Source organism: Homo sapiens, chromosome 7 (genome assembly GCF_000001405.40).
Source record: "Homo sapiens chromosome 7, GRCh38.p14 Primary Assembly".
Classification (NCBI taxonomy): domain Eukaryota; kingdom Metazoa; phylum Chordata; class Mammalia; order Primates; family Hominidae; genus Homo; species Homo sapiens.
Genome location: NC_000007.14, coordinates 51,135,223 through 51,159,641, shown reverse-complemented (window position 1 = coordinate 51,159,641; position 24,419 = coordinate 51,135,223). Strand labels below are relative to the sequence as shown.

General features: G+C 45.3%; 1 protein-coding gene across 23 annotated transcripts in view; it reads left to right on the top strand.

Annotated features, from left to right (window-relative positions):
* COBL (cordon-bleu WH2 repeat protein) overlaps positions 1-24,419 on the top strand; it is a 300,598-nt gene that overhangs the window by 157,168 nt on the left and 119,011 nt on the right. For all 23 annotated transcript variants that reach the window (NM_001346443.2, NM_001346442.2, NM_015198.5 and 20 more), the window contains one exon: positions 23,311-23,484. In NM_001346443.2, coding sequence (NP_001333372.1) covers positions 23,311-23,484 — 174 coding nt within the window. The remainder of the gene's footprint in view (positions 1-23,310; positions 23,485-24,419) is intronic.

Sequence of the window (24,419 nt, the reverse complement as noted above, 5' to 3'; positions counted from 1 at the left end):
GTAGAAAACGTCCCTTTCAAATACTGGTTTTCCGTATGTTCCCCTAAAACATGACTATTATTTCCACTGTCTATGTTTCCTTTCTGGCCTTCCCCTGCTCTTTGTCAGACAAGTATAAAACAAGAATCTCACTTGCCTGCACATGGATTTAAGTTGCTTCAGAGACCAGAGAAGGTGAGAAGCAGAGCTCTCTGTCCCTCGGTATCCTTTCCTGTCTAGGAGATGACATCTCCGCCATCACAGTGCCTCGGGCCAGAACCCTGGGGTCCTCTTTGCCCCCTTTGCTCTCCCACTCCACCTGCAACCCTCATAGCGTCTGTCGCCTTCAAGATACATCTAGGATCTCACCACTTCACACAGCCTGGCCTTGTCACCTGGCCCAGGCCTCCTGGCGGCTCCACTTCCCAGCACCTGTGGTCTCCAAAGCCTCCTCCCCACCTCCCTGCTTTGCGCCCTGCGGTTTCACGCGGCATCCAGAGCGCAGCGCGCGCGGCCGCCAGGTGCGCGCGGCCGGGGGCTGCAGAGAGCCTGCAACGCCGCCCCCGCTGCCCTCCTCCAAGCTCCTGGCCAGCTCTTCGTGTGTCTTGATCCAGGTTCTTAAAAAAAGGAAGTGGACTATAGACAGGGTGTCCCACACACTGGCAGTCCCAGGGTCGGCCCTTGGGGCTGCTGTTTCTCAGCTCGCCTCCCTGCCCACACAGCCCCTGCACCCCCGCGCTGTGCCTTCCCTGTCCCCGGCGCTGTGCCTTCCCTGTCCCCCACGCCTTCCCTGTCTCCCACCCCGTGCCTCGCTTTCCCTGTCCCCCGCCCTATGGACACCCCTGGCTCAGGCCAGTGTGCTTGTCCCAGCATCGCGCTCATCTCCTGTTTTTATTTGATGTTACAGATTTCATTTCATTAGGAATGAGTGTTTCCTCCCCGACTTTTGCCTGCATTCTTTTCCAGCTCCTCCCTGGAAAAGGGCAGGGGCGGACACTTTCCCAGCCTCCCACCGTGCTCTGTTCCTAGTGGCACCTGCCCCAGGGTCTGGGCCCCTAGGGATGCGTCCTCTACCCTGGAGACTGGGATCTTCTTAAATCCCCACTGCTCCCTTGTTGTCTCCTCAGCTAGCACCACCTTTGCTTCCTCTTCCAGGGTTGTCACATTTTCTTGATTTCTGCATCTTAAATATGTCCCAGGCGGACCTATAGTCCTTCCCTTTTCTTCCTGTTGAGCGATGGTTACAGGCTGTGGACGCGTGTGAGTGAGGAGGCTCCTCCCCGACCCTGCCCTTCCGCCATCCGGTAGGTTTGGGTCCATTCTTCTCCATTCTTTCAACATAAACTGCACCTTGAGGGTCTCTTCTCCTTTTTGAAATTTTGCATGGTACCAATTCATAGTAGATTACAGAGTAAAATAAATAAAATAAACAAATAGAAAATACATAGAAATAGTAAAATAAAAAGAATAATAAATAAACAGTCCCATATCAATCATCCACCATTAACAAATGTTAATGTGTGTTTAGCTACATTTGCTGCATTGTCTTTTTGTTAACGACTAAGAAACACAGCAGACACAGATGACACTGCCTCTCTAACACAACAACTGGCTCTCTTCTTCCTTCCCCAGGGGCAGCAACCCTTTTAAAAGTTTTATATTTTAAGAAGTATAGTGAAAGGCTGTCTGTCCATTAACAACACAGAGCATATTTTGTATGTTTTAACAATGTGTGTGATGATTGTCTGTATTTTGTTTATTTCAATTGACAAATAAAAATTATATATCAGTGCATTGTGCAACAGCTAAATCAAGCTAATTACCATATCCATGACCTCACATACTTATATTTTTGTGGTAACATTTAAAGTCTACCGTTTTAGTAATTTTCAAGTATATAATACATTCTTAGTAGTTATAGTCACCATATAGTACAATAAATAGACTTCCTGAAGTGATTATTTATTTTCCAAAGTCTGAATTTTGACTTAGAGAATAAGAACAATGAATATTGAGGGGGAAAAAATAAGGAAAGAAAGAAGGAGAAAAGAAAAGGGAGAAGAGAGCAGAGTGCCTCCACTAAAATCCCTCCCCACATAGACACTCGCCTCTCCAACCACTTGCCCTGGGCACACTTTGAGTCTGTCCCATCAGCAGACCAGGGGGCACTGGAGACACACAGAGGAGCCAGGCCAACCCCCTGCCCTCAGAAGACACCAAGGAACCCCTTGCCGGTGCTACTGAAACTCCAAATTCTCTGGCATTGCCAGGGGCCTTGTTTATTTTTTTTGAGGCGGAGTCTTGCTGTGTTGCCCAGGCTGGAGTGCAGTGGCATGATCTTGACTCACTGCAACCTCTGCCTCCTGGGTTTAAGCAGTTCTCCTGCCTCAGCCTCCCAGGTAGCTGGGATTACAGGCCCACACCACCACGCCTGGCTAATTTTTTTGTATTTTTAGTAGAGATGGGGTTTCACCATGTTGGCCAGGCTGGTTTTGAACTCCTGACCTTAAGTGATCCGCCTGCCTCGGCCTTTCAAAGCGCTAGGATTACAGGCGTGAGCCACCGTGTCTGGCTAGCCCTGGCCTTGTTAAAACTCTGATTTGAGGTATTGGGGCAGATGAGGCAATAGGAGAATCAAGCCTGAGGCCCTGGCGAGGAGGTAGAGTCAGAGGGCTCGGTTCTCCTTGTGAGAAGGGCGAAGGAAGGTCTGTACAGAGAAGGCAAAGCCTCAGCTAAGCTGCGGATGCAGCTGTGTGGCTCCCTCTCTGAGAGGGGAATCCAGCTTAGGGGCACCTGTGTTTCTATTTTAAGTACAGAACAGTTTAAGGGGGAGAGGAAGGAGAAGGGTTAAGAAATGAAAGTTCCCATTCTTCAGCAGTTCCATTTAGTGATTTGAAAGTGCACCTTAACTACAGTTCATTGTGTGTGTGTGTGTGTGTGTGTGTGTGTGTGTGTGTGTGTGTGAAGGGTGGTTTTTTATTGACTGTACATTGGAAATGTGTGTTTAAAAATAGCCTGAACAAATGACTAGCTATTTCTCAATATTTGACCCTCCATGTGGGGTGAGAAGGATCAGAGAATTCTTTTATTTGCTTGGCTAAGAATGTTTGCCATCCGAGATGATATATTCTGGATCTGTAATTATATGGTGAGCGTAACTCCTTTGAATGACAGCCTCCAATAAAACTGAATAATTCTGGGTGATGCTTCCTGCTGGGTGATTCCTGGGGAACCTGATGTCTCCTTCAGAAGAGACACTTCGGTGAGCTTTCAGAAAGGGACATTTCGGAAGTATTGGCTCTGAGCTTCAAACTGAGATAATTTGATAAACTTGGACAAGAATAACTACTGTCTGGACATCATGGGGAGATAAAAAAGAGGAAAAGAACCACAACAAGAAAAATAAAAGGGTAAGAAAGGAATTAATTTGCCTTCTTGGCTTGTAAATTTTGTGTGTGTGTGTGTGTGTGCAGAGTATTTTGGTTGAACTACAAAAATCAACATTTAGTGATATATCCTAAGTGGACTGTCTTTGATATTTGTTTTCTTTTAGCACAATGAATTTCTGTTCTATGTCGTCTGGATGATTTTCTAGCTTTATAGCAAAAACTATAAGCAAATTATAAATACAGGTGTTTATGAAGCTTATTTCTTTGAAAATACAGTGGTTTATGGAGAAACTATGATTCCCAGTTGCATTTGAATTTCCTTGATCTCTCTGTGTTTTGCTTGGTTGCATGGAGATTGGCAGAAGTCAATGTTGATATTTTCATTACTGATGATGCAGGCTCCCTTCCGTAAGAACCATCACAATGGGACCTAGAGTAGATGCTTCAGGTCAGTTCTAAGCAATTCACACAGGAGGGCTTAAATAGTCCTGAGCAGATAACGTTTTTCTGTTTAGGTTTACTGACTTGGATACCACTCTGTTTAACACACACTACCCCATAGGTGTAGAGCTTCTGAGTGTTCCTTCATTTATGGTTAGGGGAGTTGAAATCTGTAGAAATGAAACCAGGGCTATATAGGAACTGTGCAGTCTTCTTTTTTTTTTTTTTTTTTTTTTTTTTTTTGAGATGGAGTCTTGCTCTGTCACCTAGGCTGGAGTGCAGTGGCATGATCTCAGCTCACTGCAACCTCCGCCTCCCAGGTTCAAATGATTCTCCTGCCTCAGCCTCCTGAGTAGCTGGGATTACAGGTGTGTGCCACCATGCCCAGCTAATTTTTTTGTATTTTTAGTAGAGATGGGGTTTCACCATGTTGGCCAGGCTGGTCTGAAATCCCTGACCTCGTGATTCACCCATCTCAGCCTCCCAAAGTGCTGGGATTACAGGTGTGAGCCACTGCTCCCGGCTGGAACTGTACAGTCTTTCTATTACCAAGTAAAACTCTTTATTGTCCTAAATATTGCATATTTTATGTCCCAGGCAGAGTGGCTTCTGATCCTGTCTTTGCAGCCATATATTGGTAATTGGTTTGGCTGTGTCCAAAACCATTTCTGCCCCTTCTTCCAGAGGTTATCTTCTGACCTCAACAACCATTTATAGCTGAATTTTGTTAAAACATTGGAGTTAATTGGAAGCAAACAGGTGAAGTGAATTTAAGCTCTATGAGGACAGAGTCATTTATTATTAATATTATTGCTATTATTTCTGATTGTTCAACTAATGCAGTGCCTGGAAACAAGAGTAGGAACTTAGATGTGTTCATTGAACGCATGCCTGCTTTGGTCAGAAGTATAGCCAATGAGAATTGATCTCTGGCGCAGTTTGTTAATACTTTATATCCCATGTCAGAGACAGTCTCCAGTAGTGTAAGCAAAAGTTACACACGGAAAAAGGAAAATGGTGAATGCTGAAGCAGATGGCCTGGTTGCCCAGAACTCTCAATTTTGATGCAGAGATTTTGAATGATATTTTCTTGAGTGTTTTGTGAAAATTGCCCATGCCCATTCCTCTCCTCTTACCTGCTGGCTCCACACCTTTAGGTTGGGATTGGGATGTGTGCCAGTGACGCAGACCCTAATGATACCCATGGCCCAGCCACGGATTCTCAGAGAGGAGGGGAGGTGCCCACATCCCACCGGGAGTTATTCGTACAGAGGCTGATGAAAGAGAAGCCTCATTTTAATGCTTTTGCTGGGATATAATGACATCTATTGTTTTATTGAAGTACAGTCATGCCCCAGATCAGGATTTGCTGCCTCCATTAGAATCCTATTTGCTCCCATGGAACTGTGAGTGATGTCAGCTCTGTGGCACCCTTGCTCTAAGCCTCTCAAAGCCCCTTTGTGCCTTGGCCCTCCGTGCCCTGACCATGTTCTCTGCTTCAGTTTGCGCTCATAGCACATTGGTCTGTGCCTGTTCTTATGAGGTCCAGCAGCCAGCCTTAGGGCTGTAGCTTAAAACCACCCTCATGGTTTTTCCTCTGGCTTCCTTCTATGTGTGGAGAATATGCATGGAACTCTGACTCCCTTGACTGTGGCCAACATGTTAGTAAGCCTGGGCTAAGCTGCTCTCATAAAGGAAATCCCCAGAATTCAGAAGCTTGGATTCAGAGGCTGTTGGTGACTCTCAGGGTACTTGGAAGGTTGCATCTGCCAAGGTTGGAGGCACTCATCTTTCAGCGACACGGGCCTCCACGATGAACACGGCCATCTGCTTCTCCATCAGTTGGAGGGGACGCCATGGAAGGACACATCTGTGAGGTCTCTACAGGCCAGTCTGGAAGTTACATGTACCTCCCATCCAGTCTCATTTTATTGGCGAGAACTTAAGGACATGGCTCTATATTGCTGCAAAGGAGTCTGGGAAATAAAAACGTTAGCTGGCCGCTGCGTGACAGCACTGATATTGGAATCACTGAAAGGGAGAATAGAGGTGCTACTCAGCTGGCTGTCCTGACGTTACCCACCAAGCAGGGCCAGAGACCCTGCGGCCTCCTTACCACAGCAGCTTCCATGGTCTTGTCCCCATTTCCTTGATGACAAGGAAGGGAAGGATGTAAAGAAGTCGTGTGAGTTCACTGGCTATCAGCAGTCATATTGCCCATCTACTGTGTAAAAGAAGAGAAGAGAAGCCTATCTATGAGATTGTAGGTCACGGAGCATGCTGTTCACAGCAAATAGCAGTCACAATGAAATCTTCAGCAATGTTATTTAAATAACACATACCTGCAGGCAGCTTCTCAGTAATGAAACATTAATATACAAATGCATTAGGAATGATTACATTTATGGTTGCTTTTTAGCATAGAATAGGGATGACTTCTTGTTTTTACTTTATTCTAGTTATTTTAAAATTATTTGCTAACCATCTTAATTATTAGCTAGATATCTTTAATTATCAGTAATAATTAATTGGTAACAATAAAGCAAAATTAACAGTACTATATTATTGAGAAACAAGAGTCATAGCATTTTAAAGCCTAAGACCAACTTTTGTATGATGCCAGTGATGTGCTAATAAAAAAGTATCTTTTTTTTATGCTATGAGCTTCTCACCGGAGTGTGCACACATTTGATAAGATCTTTACAATCCCCCATGGCAGCTGGGACCCACAGAAGAGGACAAAATTAGAATCCAGAGTAAATTCTAACTATGTATGAATTTAACCTTACGATATACAATAGTAGGCTAGTGATAAGTAGCTCTTAGCCATATGTAAAAATGAAAATCTTCATAACAAAGGATTGTGGTTTGGTTCAGTTCATTGCTTGCTCTTTCAGAGGATTCTTGATCTGGGGGCCATGGATGGCAGATCTAAGTTAGAGAATGCCTGGGCTGAACCGTTGGAGCATTCCCATTCAGGCATGAGAAACAGAAATGTCCCTAAGACCATCGCCAGCCTCTGCCCCAACAGGGCCCTGAATCCACCAGACAAATCATACAACAAGGATGAGAAAAGATGCTGCTTTCAAGCCTGTTTATATTGTCAATTAACTTGTATATGAAACCACTTTTAGTTTTGGAATTATTTTCTGCCTTTGCCAACTCTTAGCAACAGAAAACATAGGTAGGGTTGTAGGAAGCAACAGAGAAAGCTCACAGCAGTGGATTTAACTGAAGGAGAAGAATACCTGGGAAACCTTGAAAATGTTAATAGCTTATTGCCATTTTTTTCTCTTGCTTTAGGTCTGACAAATGTGCCAACAGAAGGGGCTGGACAGAGATGGTTTCTATAAAAATGCAATCAGCCCTGTAAATGTAAATGTGGGAGTCGGCAGCTTGGGGGTTTCATGAGGCTTAGGAGGATGGGACAAAAGTGAACCATGGTACCAACTAAATTTGACTGGAGTGGGATTCAGGGTAGCTAAGAAACAAGCTACAGATGTGAGAACTTTCCTAGTATTGCAAAATAATTGATTTTTATTTGACTTATGGTTAAATGGTCCCCTCTTCCTAAATTTTGTCTTACCTTAAATCAGAATTGAACAGCTGTCTCTGGAGCGCTGGTCATCTCTGCTCATTTGTCTTGGGCCTGTCCCTTGTGCGTAGCCAGAGTGTTCCTTTTCTGGTCTTGGAGTATTAGTCTATCTTGGCACTTTCCTGTAATGCCATAGTCCTTAAACCTTTAAGGCATCGTTATGGAATGTGTGCATCACAAAGTGTGACTTTTTGAATAAGAGCAGAGTTTGTCCTGAGATCATATGATTTGTGAGCAGGAAATGGCTATTAAGCCAAAATCAGATCATTAAAGAGATGTTTTGCTAATACACTGAGTTAAGGAATGGCCACAGGCGGCTGAGGGTGCTGGCCATTGGTGAACAGCTGGTGGGCGACCCTGGCTTGTCCGTGGGGTCTCCCAGGAGGACGCTGTGTGTCTAGCCTGAGCCAGGCACACAGAGCCCTTTCTGCTCTTGAAGAAATGATTCAAAGCTCTGTCCTAACCAAGGAAGCTGGGAAATATTCCTTTTAGTATTTGCTGGTATGATTGTTTTTCAGTTTGTCCTAAAGCCTGAGCTTCCTCTTGACCAGGAAATTACAGGGCTTACTGGACTTTGATGCAGGCCAGCTGTAATTACCCTAAATGTTTATTCCGCCTCTCTTTGTATGCTTTTGTGAAGCTACCAGGTCATGAAGGATATACTCTGAATGGTTAACAAGGCTCAAATCTCTTTTTTAAAAAATCAGAACGTTAGTTTTTCACCTTCTTCTACATTCTTAGCCACACCAGTCACTTGTTAATATCTTATGGGGAGACTCTGGAAGGGCAGGTGCGACGCCAGAGTGGGGGCAGATTTCTTCCAGTGGGCATTTTTTCCTGATCTGTGAAAGCCTAGAGGAGAGATGTCCACTTGCATCCCAGGGCACGGGAACTCAACATACTTCCAGGCCGCAGGTTGTAGATAAAGCAGAACTGGGTGGGATAGCTGCTGAGCTGACATACAGCGTTTATACAGATCTTAGTTGCCTGTGATGCAAGGCCAGAGGACTTGAACATAAATCAGTGCATCAAGGCTGAAAATGTTTCGCCTATGTACAGCAGCTGAACTGAGATAGGATTTGACAATAGTATGGGAAAGAGCCGAGGATTTTCAGTGGCAGAAAGATCCACATCTGAAAGAGCTGTGTTTTTGTCTGCTTCATGCAAGCACAGGGTGCTTACTGACTCATTTTCTTGCCCTGACCATGGTCAGAGGTCAGAACAATATTGGGAGGAGTTGTCAGTGCTGATTTGGGGCGGGGAGGGGGGCAGGTGACTCTTGCTCCTGAAGAAGGGGCTCTCTGCGACTAGAAAGAACCAACTGAGCATCTGAAAAGAGTTTAAGCGTGGGCCCATATCTGGGTAAGAACATGACATCCCAGCTATAATTTTGTGCTAAGAAAAATAGAGCACTCTCCCCAAGATCTAGTACCTCTTGGCCAGAAGCAGACACTTCCCTTTGAGTTGTGCAGCCTGTGGTCTCTGCCCAATCTTGAGCAGCCATAGGTGGTCTTCATCTGGACAATGAACTCAACTAGAATCATCTACTGAAAGTGGCGAAGTAGTTGTGTCAACCTGGTCTCATTGCTGTAGGCTGAAAGAAGGTCAGTTATAGTTTCTGTTTTCTCCTGGAGGATTGGAGAATTGCCTGACTCCCATAGTTTCTCCAGGAAACCAAGAGAAATGTTGCCATTTATGTTGAGGACAATCAAAATGTGAGAAGAGGAGTATAGCCATGTAATAATAATGATGATGATTCACGGCAGCTCTGTGTATTGGGGGAGCTTCCTGAAACACTGAATGGAGAAGGTTGCTGGGGTTGACTAGTGATGTCTCTCTTGGTGTGGGATGAGTATGAGAGGCATGCCGAGTGACTTCTCTTCCTTTCCTAACACCTACGTTCAATCATGAGCACTATCAGAAATGTAGGAAGCTGTCTAGGCTGCAGGCCTTCTGAGTAAGAGCAGTAGACACTGGACTATCAGAGACTGTAGTGGACCAGAAGGTTGGGCTACTCTGCTAAGGCACTTCTGGGATACACAAGTCACTTAGCTGATGAGTGAGCCCAAGGTGTACCCATCGTTCTGTAGCTCAGAGGGGCTCGGCTCCTCTCCCTTCCCCTTGCAGTGTTTTTTGTGTGTGTGTTTTCTGTGGAAGGGAGACTTACCTTGTTTTCTGTATGAGAACTTGTGCATGCATGCCTGGAAGTATCTCCCTGGAAAATGCCAGCTGCCAGGGTTTAATGGAAGTAAAGAAAACATGAGAAGTTCCAAAGGAAGTGATCATTTTTGTATTCTTATTTTAGACATTCTGGGCTGGTTGCAGTGGCTCATGCCTGTAATCCCAGCACTTTCGGAGGCTGAGGTGGGCGGATCACCTGAGGTCAGGAGTTCAAGACCAGCCTGGCCAACAAAGGTGCTATTTACAAAGATGCTGAAACCGCAGCTCTACGAAGAATACAATAATTAGCCAGGCGTGGTGGTGGGCACATGTAATCCCAGCTACTCAGAGGCTGAGGCAGGAGAATCTCTCGAACTTGGGAGGAGGAGGTAGCAGTGAGCTGAGGTTGCGCCACTGCACTCCAGCCTGGGCGACACAGTGAGACTCTGTCTCAAAAACAAAATACAAAACAAAAAGACATTCTGAGACAAATAGTGAAATAATAAATTTGGAACTGGGTTAAATCCATGTAAGAGTAAGTTCACCAAACACTCTAAAAGCAATGAGAAAATCAGTTTATTTGCTTATTTTTGCAAGTGTACCAGCCAGTTTAAAAGTTGCTCAGAAAGTGGGAGATAAAATTGTAGACAAAGTAGGGATGGGGTTTTGCTTGTAGTGTGAAGATAGGTTCAGGAACACATGGCCCTTGAAGAAAGTGTGACTGGGGAGGAAGCCTGGAGCCTGGACAGACCTGTCTTTGACCACAGGTGGGGAAAGCACCACAGACGCCAGTTCCTGTCCTTTCAGGAGAAGTGATGTGCCCCTGTGGTATTCAGAAAATGGGTGTCTGCAGCCCTCCGGCAAGCATCAGGAGATGACTCTGTTCATGAGAAGTGACAGACACTTGCACTTCACATTGCCTCACAGAAATGGAAACAAAATCAAGCCAAGCAGCAGAGCAGTGTAGCTGTGGGGCCATATGGGGAAGATAAATGCCCCTTCGGGCTTGGGGTTTATAGCAAACCTTGACATAGAGGATGTCTCAGGAACTTGGAAAACCACACCACCCAGAAATAGGGAGGTGTGGTCCCTGTATTAAAATTGGAATTGTGGGCTCGAGTGTTTACAAAGATAAGAGATTTTTTTGTGGTGGGGTGAAGTTATATATGTGTATACATGTTTACACACACACAGAGTAAATGATAAGGGGGTTGGGGATGCCTGGAGCAGTGGTCCTCCGGGGGGTGTCTGAATGGCCAGCCCTGGCTTGCCTCTGCTACAGCCCCCGCTGCCAGCACCCCACCTCCCTTCCCACACCTTGGCCTGGCTCTGAAGGGGTATTCAGGGGAGTGGATCTCAGACAGGTGAGGTCAGAATGCCAAGAGCCATGGTCATGGAGGGATATGCATTTCCAGTTGGTAGGATTCCCAGGAAAGGGAGCTAAGGAAATTCAGGAATGAGCCACGGAAAGTCAAGAAAATTTGGGAGTAAGTCAAGGGCATTTATGGCAGCTAGGCAGGAGAGGGGCCAGGACAAGACCTTAGCGACATGGACAGCATCCATGGGCCAAGGCCTTGGAAGCCGCTGTGTCAGAGAGAAGATGGAGGGCAACAGGACCCAGTGGGCCGCTGAGGGGTACCTGCAACTTGGGGAGAGGGAGACATTGAATAGCACCTATAGTTTTGCTTAAAAGCCAGTAGAGTTGTACCTTAGAAACCAACCAAAAGAGAATCTAACAGGAGCTGAGGTGGAGCGTGAGCTGTGAGAGAAAGACAAAGCGAGGGAAGATGAGGGGAAATGGGTCCCCTTCCCTTTGTAGCCCACCCCCCAGTCACTCTGGCTGCCTCCCACCTGCCCTGTGCACAAACGTGTAAATAGTAAAATAGAGGTTCCTCTTCAAAGAGACTCTCCTCTCCGTCTAATTAGGAATAAATAGTAACTTCTCTTAGAAGCAATATTTATTCAAAGACCTGTGCTAACATTCTTAAATATCTGCTAGCCGTAATAAATCAATGTGGCTGGGTGTGGTGGCTCACACCTGTAATCCCAGCACTTTCGGAGGCCAAGGTGGGCGGATCACGAGATCCGGAGATCGTGACCATCCTGGCTAACACGGTAAAACCCCGTCTATACTAAAAATAAAATAAAAATGCAAAAAACTTAGCTGGGTGTGGTGGCGGGTGCCTGTATTCCCAGCTACTTGGGAGGCTGAGGCAGGAGACTAGTGTGAACCTGGGAGGCGGAGCTTGCAGTGAGCCGAGATCGCGCCACTGCACTCCAGCCTGGATGACAGAGTGAGACTCTGTATCAAAAAAAAAAAAAAAGAAAAGAAAAATCAACGTACTTTATGTTCTTAGGTCCCGCAATTTCGCCTAAATATTTGCCCTGGCATGCTTATACTAGTCCAAGCGGGCGTTAGGTCATAGCCTATTCCTCTTCCTTATTTGGAGGTGTTTTCACCTTTCTCAGCATTCCACAAGTTACTTCCTCCTCCCTTTGTTCTCCTCTACCTTTGCTCTTTTAAAAAGTTCTAAGTTGCTAGCCAATCAGGACAAATACAGAAAGCGAGGTCCTGTTCTGGCCAGTGGAAACCAGATACAGCAGTAAGGTGAACGCGTCAGGTTATAAATGACCCTGTCTCCTTTGTTCGGTGTACTCTCCTGGCAAAACTGCTGGTGAGTGTACCCTTTCTGCAGAAAGTAAAAATGACCTTGCTGAGAAAATTAAATTTATGTTCAAGTGCTATTTCTTTACAGCACCAAGTAACAAGCATTTCTAACAAATGTGACCCATACAAGGCTGAGGGACCTTTTTGTGAGCTAGGACAAGGAAGGGCTTAGTGGATGGCCATGGGCAGGTTCTCAGTGCGCTGGCTCCCAGCTGTTCTCTAGAGAGGGAAGGCCACACCCAGCCACATGCAAGTCCAGGGCTGACACAGCTTGGAGGTCACAGCTGCCCCAGGGCTGCGGAGTCCTGACTGGATTCTGAGAGGAAAGCCATTCCCCTCCCCTCTGCAGTGCCTTCTGCTGTCCCTATGCAGGGACCCTGGCCTGCAGAACACTTCCTGCAGGTTAATGAGCAACCCCCTGCTGGCTCCCCATCACCATGCCCAAGGTGGGGAGCTGAGAATGTCACACCCCTCCTGGGGCTGCCAGGGGATCAGCAGCCGTATCTGCTCTCCAACTTCCCAATGGATCACAGCCCTCCTATTAAGTAACTTTTGTAGGTCTTGGGTTTTCCTCCTGACTGCTCTGACCTGCTCATCTTGAGTTGGAAAGAAGTGAGGGAATATCCCGTATTCCTTGCGACTCCCCCTCTGCACCACCTGCCTTTATATGAGAAAATGCACAGCTCTTCATCAGGCCTTATTTCTAACTCTCCCAGCTTCCTAGAAATCTGGGCTATTGCCCCCCTCCCCCCGCCCCCACATTCCTGCACTAGCAGCTCCACAGCGGTCACCTTCCTCTGTCTCCTCTTTTTATTTCCAACAAGAGATAATATCTTAATGGGAGAACGGAGTGGGGCATGGCAGAAGCGCTACAGAATCTGAGTCCCACAGGTCATGCTAGAAAATAGGAAAGGACTGAGGTTAAATGACAAGATTGCCAAGAGAACCTCAAGGAAACTGCCGATCGCTTTGAAGGTGAACTTCATGGGTGACCTTGAGATGAGTATGCCTGGCAGCCCCTCCCTGCAGTCATGGGGATGTGCACTTGACCAGCCGTTATGCTTTGCAGCAATTCTAAAAGGAGGTGGCAAGGGAGCCCCAAGGAGGGGCTGATTAATTATTTGTTAATTAATAATAGAGTACCCAAATTTGTGAGTGATTTACTTAAACAGACAAAAGCCATTCAGTTTCACCTGGAAAACATGATTATTCCCTCTCTGATACACTTTTTGAAGAAGACAGAAGGATGGAGTTGCAGCTCTTGCACAGATGCTGCTCAGAGGCTGGCACCTTGCATGTGAAACCCATGCATATGAAATCATGGGGCTTGGGGCCAGTAAAAATATTGATGGCTGATGCTCTAAGGCACTGTTCCTTAAGAGAGAATAAAAATGAGCCACCTCCAGCCTGGGCAGTGTGCTGTGATGGTCAGGAGCAAAGGTGAGAGCGGTGGGGCCCACTCTTGATTCCCAAACACAGATGCCTAGTGGGAGTAAACAAACGGAAAGATGCCTCCACCTCATTAGTAGTGGGGGAAGTGCAGTTCAAAACCATAGTGAGACACCGCTTCACACACACGAAAGACGGCTGTTCAAACAAAAGGAAAACAAATGTTGGCCAGGACGTGGATAAACTGGAACCCTTGTTCATTGCTGGTGAGAATGTAAAATGGTACAGCCACTGTGGAAAGCACTTTGGCTGTTCCTCAGTAAGTTAAACAGAGGAATAACAGGCCAGGTGTGGCGGCTCACTCCTGTTATCCCAGCACTTTGGGAGGCCGAGGTGGGCAGATCACCTGAGGTCAGGAGTTTGACACCAGCCTAGCCAACATGGCGAAACCCCATCTCTACTAAAAGCACAAAAATTAGCTGGGCATGGTGGCGGGTACCTGTAATCCCAGCTACTCAGGAAGCGGAGGCAGGAGAAGCTTGAACCCGGGAGGTAGAGGTTGCAGTGAACTGAGTTCGTGCCACTGCACTCCAGCCTGGGCGACAGGAGTGACACTCCATCTCGGAAAAAAAAGAAAAAAAAAAGAAAAGGAATAACATATGAGCCACAATTCTCCTAGGAATATACCCAAAAGAATTAAAAACAGGCCGGGCATGGTGGCTCACACCTATGATCCCAGCACTTTGGGAGGCTGAGGCGGGCTGATCACTTGAGGTCAAGAGTTCAAGACCAGCCTGGCCAACATGGTGAAACCCTGTCTCTACTGAAAATACAAAAAATTAGTTGGGCGTGATGGTGGGCACCTATAATCCCAGCTACTCAGGAGGCTGAGGCAGGAGAATCGCTTGAACCTGGGAGGCAGAGGTTTCAGTAAGCTGAGATCGCACCACTGCACTCCAGCCTGGGCGACAAGAGCAAGACTCTGTCTAGAAAAAAAGAATTAAAAACAAGTGAATAGTACACAAATGCTTGTAGCAGCTCTGTTCACAGTAGCCAAAAAGTAGAAACAATTCTAATGCCCATGAACAGATGAGTGGATAAGAATGTGGTATATACATCAAACATTCGGCCTTAACAAGGAATGAAATACTGATGCATGCTGCAATGTGAGCAAACCTTCAAAACATTATGCTAAGTGAAAGCCAAACACAAAGATCATATATTGTTTGATTTCATTTATATGAAACATATGGAACAGGTAAATCCATAGAGTCTAAAAGCAAACTGGGGTTTGTCCAGGACTGGGGTGGGGAAAGGGGATTGGGGAGTGTCTGCTTAATGGGTACAAGGTCTCCTTTTGGGATGATGAAAACATTCTGAAACTAGATAGTGGTGATGTCTGGATGATAGTGTCAATGTACTTAACACCACGGATTGTATGCTTTAAAATGGCTAACACGGTTAATTTTATGTTATTACACACATTTTGTTATCATAATTTAAAAAAGGAAAACAGCCAATGCTTGATCTGGCTCCGGGGTTTCGGATATGCTTGGATTGGTGTGCAGCCTGGGTGTGTGCATCATTAAAGCTCCAGGGAGTTCCGTGCAGCTGAGTTTTCGAACCTCTGCCCCAGAGCCAGCCTGTCTGGCTCCACCACTTCCTAGTGTGTGACCTTGGGCAACCAGTAACTCGCTGTACCTGAGTTTCCTTAGCTGTGAAATGAGGACCATGTAATTACCTTCCTATAGAGCTGGTATGAGGGTCAAGTGGGTTCATATATGTAAAATACATGTCTGCACACGAATCTATCACCATTTTCTGAGCCTGGAGTTTAGATTTCCTCCCTAACCGGCTTAGTTGTTCTCTTTGCACCTGGCAGGTGTCAGCTCACATGCCGCCCAGGTGGAGAGACCACACTTCTGCTAGCCTGGGACAGTCCCAGCAATGCTGATGTCACTGCATTCTTTCCCATTAGGCTTACTTTAGATCACTTGAAAAATAGTTCTATTTTGGATAATAAATTATGTGGCCACCCTCTTAACCCTCTTCTATAGCATGCTACATATAGGTAGTGATGAATGGTAAGTCCCTTAGAAGATTAGAGAGGGCAACATTATAAACAGTGCATCAGAGAATTAGTCTGCTCCCCCAGAAGAGAGGCTCTTGAACCACACAGCTACTTTTCCTGCTTCTTAAAAAATAAATCCTACTTTTCTTGAAAAGAAGTTTTGCCAAGGAAGAAATCTGATCAGCTTTTTTCCTCCACTCATGACTCAGTTACCTGGAGTTACAGGGAAGCCTTCCTGATTTGGTACACGTTTTAGAAACAATCATATTTATTGCACAGGAATTGTTCCCTTTTTTGTTTTGTTTCTGTGTCCTGTAGTGGTGCCCTTTCAGTCGGCACCCAGACCTGCCCCATGCACATCTACAGCCGAGTTTCTCATTCCTTTCCTGATCTAGTCCATGGTATTATTAAAATGCTCATTAACAGAATGCCCACTTAACACGAAATACTTGGTTTCGTTTGGAGAAATCCATTTATCTGGAGGAGGGCTACACATAAAGTATCACTCTTGATGAAGTATAGAAAACTGAACTTATAAGTCAGTTATTCAAAATGTGTCACCACATAAATTATGGCAAATTTTACATGTGCATTTGAGAGGGAAAAACCTTCCCTTTTTCATTAGGATTGTATTATTTTTATAAGTTGGAACCTCATTTTTCCCTGAAACTGTATCTAATTGAGTTTGCCTCAGCTGAAATCTCGCATCTGACCGCAAGCAGTCACACAGACACACACACACGCATGCAGATTGAGGCATGCCCTGTGAACATCCTTTCCCTGATGCTCTTCTCTGCTGCTGCCAAGCCCCCACTCCTTGCTTTTTAATTCTGGTCAGTCACTATGCTGCACATTATGACTTAACTTTTCATAACATTCTCTTGCCTTATCCTTCCCCTTTGATGCCCTTCCTCTTACTTTTCCTCCTCCACCTGCCCTGATGAAGTTTGCACCATGCACTGCATCTCTCCCTCCCCCTGGCTTGGCTGGAAATGAGCTTCTGCGGTCTGCTGTGGCCACTGTCACAGGATCCTGCCTGCCTGAGGACACACATCGCATGTCATCCATCTTTGAAGCACCCCGGGGCTCATTTCCTTTTAATTTACAAGCTTTTCAGAAACTTCTGCCTTTCTGAAATTGTCATTGTTAAGCATTCTAAACATTCAAATGCCTGGCAGATGGTCCTGCTTCATAAGACTGAAATACTGTCTGATAGCTCACCTTCAATCATGTCTTCCAGTTATGTTAAGGGAAAATAAAATACCAGCTCGGGCGCTGTAGCTCATGCCTGCAATCCCAGCACTTTGGGAGGCCAAGGCGGGTGGATCACTTGAGTTCAGCAGTTCGAGACCAGCCTTTCCAAGATGGCAAAACCCTGTCTCTAGTAAAAATACAAAAATTAGCCGGGCGTGGTGGCACGCTCCTGTAATCCCAGTTACTCAGGAGGCTGAGGCAGGAGAATCCCTTGAACCAGGGAGGCAGAGGTTGCAGTGAGCCCAGACCACACCATTGCACTCCGGCCTGGGTGACAGATTCTGTCTCAAAAAAAAAAAAAAAAAAAAAAAATCAAATACCAGTTGGATACTCTTTGTTTGCTCATTTTAAGAAAATGTCTTGCCAGGCGAGAAACCATCAGAGAGCTTGTGTGACACGGTATTTTGTTGGCTGAAGTATGCATCCAGACCAAATAGCTTCTGCCACTTTTCTTCTTCTAAATACTTAAAATGCCATCCCCCAGGCATTCCATGGGGTACTTGGCCAAAAAAGAGCGATCATTTCCTACTCGCCTCACCCTCTAGAAATGAGATTCCTAAGTTCCATTGTCCTGCCCATTCATGGTGATCAGTTCACATGAAGCTGGCATGCTTCATGGTTCTTTCTTTGCCGCTTCCTCGGAATCAGTGCAGGATTTCCAGGATGCCAGAAGACAGCTCAGGATTTGGCTCAGGGATTCAGCTTAAGGAGTGTCTGTCAGGAAGGCTGTGCCCTGAGGATAAGGAAATGCAAAGACAAAGACAGAGAACACCCTCTTGGGAAGGAAAGTTGGCCTTGCCCTTACCCAAGACTGTGCCAGCCACCACAGATGAGAAGCAGCATTCTCCCCATTCTCACCTCACCAGGAGCTTTGACAGACCTGAGCTGCTCTGCCCAACAGACCCCAGGGAGTGCCCGTTCGCCTCATCTGGTTTATGTCACATTGTTCTGCCTTGAGTCCTGTCAACACCTGTATCTGAAGAAAAGCCAGTGTGGATAACAGGTTCTGGAATCTTCCCTCCCACTCGATTCTTTAACAAAGCCTTAAAAAAAAAAAAAAAAGTTGTAAAGCCTTTCAAAAGGGGGCAGCATCGTCTAAGGAGAGGAGGCTGCAGGCAGCAACAGGAACATATTTCTAGTTTCATCTTTCTAGTTTATTCTATCACTAGGGAGCTGAGCCATCCTGAGTAGCTCTGTCTGGGCCTCAGTTTTTCTAATTTATTATATCACTAGGGCACAGAGCCATCTTGAGTAGCTCTGTCTGGGCCTCAGTTTTTCTCACCATCAAAACAGCAAACATCATGTCCTTCTAAGAGGATCTGATCCCATTTAGAAGAGCCTCTGCTGAGAGGATTGTTGATTGCCAGCTCAGAGTATACTTATTGTAACCAAAACATATCCCTTAACCTTGAAACAGAAATCAACATCTGAATTCCTCAATAGCCATGTCAAAAGATCTACTCAGGCTTTTAGTAGACTTGATTAAATGAGTCAAGGTATAATTGTATTTGTAGGATGGACACCTTTGAGAAATGGAAACAAAATGACCATTTCTCTTTTTTTTTTTTTAAATCGATTTAAACAGAAAGATTTCAGGTACAGCATCTCCTGTTTGTCCCTGGAAGTGTATTGTGCAGTACAGTAAGGGGTTGAAGTACACCAAGCCCCTTTTTGTTGTATGAACAGATTGATCCATCTTAGGCTGTGTGATGGGTGTGCTCGTGAGGCAGCTCTGTGAGGATATCTTCAAGAATTTTGGCAAAGGGAAATGGACCATGGCAGTCTGTGCTGACTCGAAATAGGGATGTTTACGTTGAACATGCTCAGCTTCTTGTCTGGTACTGATCTCTGATCAATTATAAGTCAATGAGCGAGGGAGACAACGTGTTCTCTGCGGTACCTGTGAGCCCTGAAAGTATTCCAGGAACACCCTGCACTCTCAGTGCCCTATCAGGTTCTATGGGGCACTTGTGCTGTCAGGGCCGTGCCCCTGCTGCCTGGTGCTAGATCTGCATAGCTCCTTGTCCCTGTCAGTGGAGTAGTGTTTTGTCGTCACAATGAAAGTCAAATAAAAGGAAAATAAGCTTTGCTGAGATGAGTACATTTTAAACAGAAGCAATCAAATATGTACATATATATATACGCACACACACACCCATGCATACATAAATGTTTGTGTGTGTGTAAATTTAAAATTAGGACCCATGTCAAAAGCACTTGTGGCAGATGATACTGGTTTTATTTTGAGCTGGCACTCAGATCTGGAAACGGTTAGCTTCCTCTTCTTCCTGTCTTCTCTCCCCAGATGCGCGTATGAGAGTCAAATCACTGATGTTTTACACTGAATGTAAGGAGTTAATTGGCTATCAGTGGTGTGGTGACATGGACACAGAGAGTTTTGCATTGTCTTTGGTGGGCGCCATTGAATTCGACTATCCATTGAATGACAGCAGCTGGCCTGGAGGAAGTTTAAATCCCACCAACCTAAGTCCCATGAAGCCTGAGATAGAAGGTTCTGTTTGCTTAGTTTTCTTTTCTGTTATTCATTGCTTTTTCTTAATGATTTATCTGGTTGCACTTGCAACTCCTGAGAAAATTTGATAAGATCATGACTGCCAACATCTGTGGATTTTGGTGCCAACCTTTGGTGAGAGCTATGACTCACTTCCCTACAAAAAAAGAACTTGATATTAAAAACATGTATATATTGACAAGCTTGGACAGGAAATCAAACCTCTCTTGCAGGCAAGCAGTGGCCTGTCCCTCATGAACTTTGCCACTTTGTAGCAGGAGACAACCAAGGAAACTGGGATAATAGGGGGGGCCAAGCTGTTTTGACTCCAGACTGCATGCATTAAGCTCTTGGTTTTCCCTTTGACTTCGTATTGATATGAGTCAGGACTTTAAAGGACTCAATACTTCACAATGTTTTCCTCCCACATTATTCTGTGGATTGCTTTCTAAATTCTGCGCACAAATTCCAAAAGTAGGGAAAGAAGATAGAAATGAAGCACAAGTATTCGCTGGACAACATAAAGTTTTTGGCTTCCCATGGGTTGAAGGTTGAGAAACACTGTTGAGTAGCAGAACTGAGAAGAGGGTCTGGTGGCTCAGGACCACTGGACCCTGCAATCGACCTCCTTGGGAGCATTGTGGGAGGTGGGAAGAGATATTTGTTAATTGTGTAGAGCAAATTAGGGGAGAAAAATCATCTGTTCTATTGAAATTCAGTTAAGTTCCAGAGTCACAGATGAAGGCCTCATGAGGAGCCCATTGTCTGAAGATAATCAATATCAGAACTTCTAGGAGGACTGGGATGGGGTGCACTTCCGCCTTCTGACTTTCTGCCATTCAAGGTCATCTCAGTGTGGCCCTCATGAGGTCATGGCCACCCAAAATAGGTATCAGAGAAGAAGGAAACCACATATATTAGACACTTCTAATGTGCTTTATCTAAATTACTTCATTTAATGCTTGTAACAACTTTGAAGGAAATGGATTTTTCCCCATTTTAAAGATGGGGATGTACCTACTTTATGGGGTCTATTCCCATTCCTTACCTTAAAAAATAGATAATGCAAAATGTCCAGGATGCTTATGACAGCAAAAAAAATTATGAATTAAAACCTGAAATCAATATGAAATGGAAGGGGGCTGTAAAGTTCTTTTAAGGGAGTATTCTGCACAGACCTTCCTTAAGTGCTCAGGGCACTTACAGGACAGAGGTGGATTCACAGCAGTATTGATTGATCAGTCAGGCAGGCATAGTTGTGGTGAGGACCGAGGACAAGAGGAACTGGGAGTTCCATGTCTAGACAGGGTGGAATGAAGACAAGCAATTAGATATGTGGTTGTGGAATGCACTGCCATGGACATCGTGTTTCTGGGACGTCAGATGGGGCATGTGTGCTTTAGAGATAGCAGGTGGCATGGGTACAGGTGTGTAGTTCTTTGACTACCACAGCTTTAAGCATCCTCCAAAATGTGTGTTCACATGTGTGAGTGCACGTTTGTGAGTGTGTGCACATGTGCGTGAGTGTGTGCATGTGCAGTCACTGTCAGCAGACGTTATGGATGAGGAAACAGAACAGTGTGGAAGGTCCCAGTGTCCATGCTCTGGCCATATGCTAAGTGACTACTGATGAGGAAAGATGGGGTTTGCATTCCCCCTGGATCTGGGGGTGTTTGTACAAACCAGCCATCCAGCAAAACACCTTTCCAGCTCCAGAACTGTGAATAGCAAAATCCCTTCTCTGGTTTGCTTCCTGTGCTTCATTTAGTCTTCTAGATCCTGCAGGGTTAAATAAATCTTGAGTTGCATCTCCCTGAGTCCTCCCTGTTGCCATGGAGGTGGATGTAAGGCAGAGTTTATTTTGCATGGCTTATTTGCTTAGTAATGACTATGATGGCTGCAGAACTCAAGGACTCAAGGGAACAATTTACATTTTTCTGTAGGAGCCTAAATAGGCATTGACGAGTGTTCTGGGTGTTAGTTTCTTTTCTGTTATATCACCGTCACCTGTTTCCTATGGGAACTCTGCACCTGATAGCCAAAGCATCGGGCATCGTTGATATTCAGTGTCTGCAGGGAAGCACTAATGGCGTAAAAAGCAGCCTTCATGGAGTGCTTTGTCCTTTGGCTTTAATATTTAAGCACAAGAAAATCTGTGACTCAATTTTTTTTCAGGAAAACAAATGATAGTATAACTGGTAGAGCAACAGCATTTGTGTCTGAGCACAAATAATACTGGGCTATTGTTTAATATGATGGATTTCCTTTATATCTTCATTTTAAATATGGAGAACTAGTTGTTCAAATGAAATCTTACCCACAAGCTTATTATGTAAAATATGAAAGCATAGTGACCCAGAGGGTCATCTGTCTATTCATTGTCTCAGGAAGGTTGACTGAAGGGCCCTCCACCTACCAGGAACTGTTTGGAGCTGGGATTACATACAGTTCTCAGTAAAAATCAGTGATAATTACTGTCTTCATTGAGTTCACATCTTAATGGGAGACAAAGATACAAACAAGCAAGTGTAATAATCATAATAGCTAACACATATTGGGTACTTACTTTGTGCCAAGAACTCCTTTTTTTTTTTTTAAAGAAGTGGGATCTCACTCTGTCTTCCAATGACACCAGCATGGCTCACTACAGCCTCAAACTCAGGCTCAAGAGATCCTCCCACCTTAGCATCCCAAGTAGCTAGCACTAAAGGTGAGCATGACCACACCCAGCCAATGTGCCAAGAACTCTTTCAAGCTCTTTTACATCCAGTCACTCATTTGATTCACATGATAGCTTTGTAATGCAGGAACTATTATTTACCCCAGTTTTACAGGAGATAAACTGGGGTAGGGAGAAATTAAAAATTTGCCCAAGGTTTGTATCTTACTCCTGACACCAAAAAATACCTCGTCTAAGGTCAAAAGAAGGAATCAAACCCAGGTAGTGTCTCCAAGGTCTGTGGGCTTAACCCCTATACTGCATTGGCTCTCAGTGTTGACTGTGTCCATGGTAACAGGTGGAAGATCTGCCAGGGCTAGGAGAGAAGAGGCACCAGGACACAGCATGGTACCATCTTGTTTTCAGTTTGAAGTTAGAGTGCTGGTTCTGCTGGTTCCCCGAATGCTTTCTGCACTAGCACTTACATGATTCTATTAAGCAGACCTTAGGGAGAAAAAAGATTCAAAAAGTTTGTGTGTCCTGTAGCCTGCTCCGCCTGGTGTAGAAATTGTCCCTTGAGAGCAATTAGTGTGTTGGCTTGTATTTCTTTCAGCTTATTGGGTATCTGTCACTAAGTACGGTACTGATGGTCCTAGACAGTCTTCACAGCATACTGCTTATACCACATTGTCAGTTTTCATAACTTCTGAAAATTAGAAGAAACATAAGCCCCCTCCTGGCAACAAGTGGAGTACTTCCCAAGATGACCAAGACTGTTGGTGTCTTCCTCATGAAGATGTATTTCTTGATCAGTTCCTTCCTCTTTTTAGTGTCTAAGAGCTCATTCTGACAATGGGTTAAAGTTTTAAGGAGGCCAGTTCACACCTGCAGGTTGGTCAAGAAGTTTAAATGATTCTAGCTGCTAAGTGTTCTCTTAATGGCTTAAAGAGTCTGCCATGGCCTTCATGATTAAGAAAGGGAGCCTCACAGCATGAGTCTGTCCTGCAGCATCTTCTCCAGTTTTCCCTGGAAAGCTACAGGCAGGGCTTGCTCAGACCATTCAAGCTGACTGTAGAAACAGCTGCCGTTCAAGCTCAGGTGGACGGATTGGAACTTTGTCTTCATGTGAGCATTCATACGGGGAGAAGTCATCTCATACTGATTTGGTTTTCTGTTTGTCTCTTCCCCAACAGGGCTGTTTAACGACCCCCAACTCCCCATCCATGCACTCACGTTCTCTTACGCTGGGTCCATCCCTCTCGCTGGGCAGCATCTCAGGGGTGTCCGTGAAGTCGGAGATGAAGAAGCGCCGAGCCCCTCCTCCTCCAGGTTCAGGGCCACCTGTGCAAGACAAGGCATCGGAAAAGGTAGGGCAGTGGGCTGTTCTCACAACCAAAGCATCTTTTCAGTGACACAGTTGATTGTTCCAAAGCTCCCTGGGAACACAGTAATCCTTCATGTTTGTGGCTGTAGCGACTGGAGTGTTGGGGGCAAGTATTTAAGCTTTATTTAAAAGTAAAGGCAAGATGCCAGGAAGGGCTCATGATTTTAACTCTGAGAAGCTGAGTTCCCCAAGGCAGTCAGGATACACCCAGCAGCCCAGTCCTGCTCCCCACATACCCTAATATGTCAGATCCACCATGCAGCTGTAAAGATAAGGATGCAGTCTTCTTCCCTGGACTGAGATTTTTCTGACTGACTGCATCCCAGCTTCCTGTGGAGGCAGCATGCCACAAATGCCAACATTTACAGAAAGCAAATTCAGAGTCCATTCATTCTGTGGCAGAACTTTATTTCCTAACTCTTGCCGCATGTGTCATGTGGCCTAGCCCAGTTGCATAGTTTGAGAGTGTCACGCCCCTGCTAGTCTTTAGGTTCAAAGCCCCTTTTTGCTCATTTGCTCTCAAAATACCCTAAAAACTAAGTCTGTGCCTCCTGAATGTGAGGCTTGGTCCCTGGATCTTGATAAAAAGTTATAGCAGCAGATACCAAATGGCGGGGTCCTGACATGTCATGTAATTTCCTTATCAGCCTGCTTGTCGTTCTGTCCAGGTATGTCCGTCTGTCCATCTATTTTTGCAAGTCGGTCCTCTGGTCATCCATCTCTGTTCCTTCATGGTTGTTCTTTATCCCTGGGTCTCAGAGACCATCCTGCTTCCATCCTTAGTCCTTCATATCCCTAAAAATCTATCTGAAAAGCCTGTAGTGGAACACATTTTCAAAGAAAATATTTTTATTTTTGCATCTCTTAAATATTTTCTAGGCCGGGTGCAGTAGCTCACGCCTGTAATCCCGGCGCTTT